Here is a 1546-nt window from a genome sequence, read left to right as displayed (position 1 = left end):
GACTCTGCCTGAAAAAAAAAAAAAAAACGAAGAAAAAAAGAACAAGAACCATGGACTTCCCAGTGTACCTCCTAGGGCCCAAGTCAGATGGAGACCCCTTGGCTAGTCAGCAGCAGCCTGATCTTATATCACAAGATGTGGTTTGCAAGTTATTTATTCATAAGGAGGAGTGAGAGAGGGTGCACAGACAGGATGTTGTCAATGTAGATCCCACTGTCATCTCGGATTACGGGTGAATTCCCTACCTGCAGCACCCCAAGCGAAGTAACACATTCTAAACAGAATTTCCAAATATCCTATGTCTCTTGAAAAGCATAAAACACACTGCTGTACATAACTCATGGAAACTGTTACTAGCGACTCTAATCATCATCTACTTTTTCAGTATCTTGTCATTTCCAGGAATGTCCCATTCATTTCCTCATTGCATATTTCATCTCTCTTTGTACTTCCATTCCACACCGTAAGGCATGTGAGAAAGCAGGAAGGTGCTTTCTACACATCACACTCTTTGTCCCTCAATATCAATTCCTCTGAGGAGTACACTTTGATTTAGCCCCTTTTTAAAGCCATAAACACTTCCCAGATTTCGCTCTATGTTTCAGACTGTGCAATATAGAAACTTAAGGAACCCCTCTGGGAATTATTAGAATGGAAGAGGGGAAAAGCTGATCCCACAAGTCAGTACTGACTTTGTGGGAAAGAGTTGCAGAGGGCCAAGCTGGGAATAGCCATAAGTTAATAATTGTGTCCCTGTATAATGGTATGCAAGTGAAAGCCCCAAACAGAAAGCGCAGTATTAGATGTTACCCTTCTAGGCTCACTTGATCCTAGTGAATCCCTGAGAAATGCAATGTGTTGACTCCAAGAACTGCCTGTGGAGCCAATGGAACATGTGATTTCCATCTCTAGGTCCCATGGAAATATCAGTGGAGTCACAGAATGCTCAAACCTGAAATCACTGTCATTAGAGTGCTCAGCTTGATGATGTTGGGATAGCCATTGTTGACATTCATACAAAGGTCTTCCACCTTCTAAAACAAAGCCTGATGCACAGGAATTTATAGAAGTTAGCAGTCCTGGAGTTCACAGGAAAGCTTCCCTGTGGTTAAACAGTCAATGATGTCATCACAGAAAAATGTGGTGGATCACCAAGGAACACTATTCTGTTTTTAAAGGAAATTGCTTCCCTGTTATCAAATTAGTGATATGGTTCTCTATCACTAATCTGTAAGCATAACAATTTAAATGAAGCCTCGCTCATCCTTGAAAAGAAAGAAAGGAATCAGTGTTTATGCCACAACTCAAAAGGCAGACATTGAAATGATTAAAAAGCCATTCATTCATTCATTCATTCACTCATGCATTCATTCAATAAATATTTGAAAGTGCCTACTATAAATCTCACATCCTGTGCTCAGCACATGTGATGTAGTGAGTGATAAGCAGATACACCTGTCCCTGAGTATCATCAAACTTAGAGTTTAGCCAGGAAGTCACAAAGTAAGAATTTATAGGTTCTTTGATTATCCTTACGTGGAGGCCA

At 40.5% G+C, this 1546-nt stretch overlaps 1 annotated feature.

Moving 5' to 3' along the window:
* Nucleotides 765-1276: an enhancer, noted in NCBI's record as "NANOG hESC enhancer chr12:98033470-98033981 (GRCh37/hg19 assembly coordinates)". NCBI's record gives its function as "activates a minimal SCP1, AML or CMV promoter by ChIP-STARR-seq in primed H9 embryonic stem cells {active_cell/tissue: H9 hESC(primed)}" and the evidence as "EXISTENCE:reporter gene assay evidence [ECO:0000049][PMID:30033119]".

This window comes from Homo sapiens, chromosome 12, assembly GCF_000001405.40.
Source record: "Homo sapiens chromosome 12, GRCh38.p14 Primary Assembly".
Taxonomy (NCBI): Eukaryota; Metazoa; Chordata; class Mammalia; order Primates; family Hominidae; genus Homo; species Homo sapiens.
The sequence above is the reverse complement of the archived record's forward strand: the minus strand, read 5'-3'. Positions and strand labels throughout refer to the sequence as shown.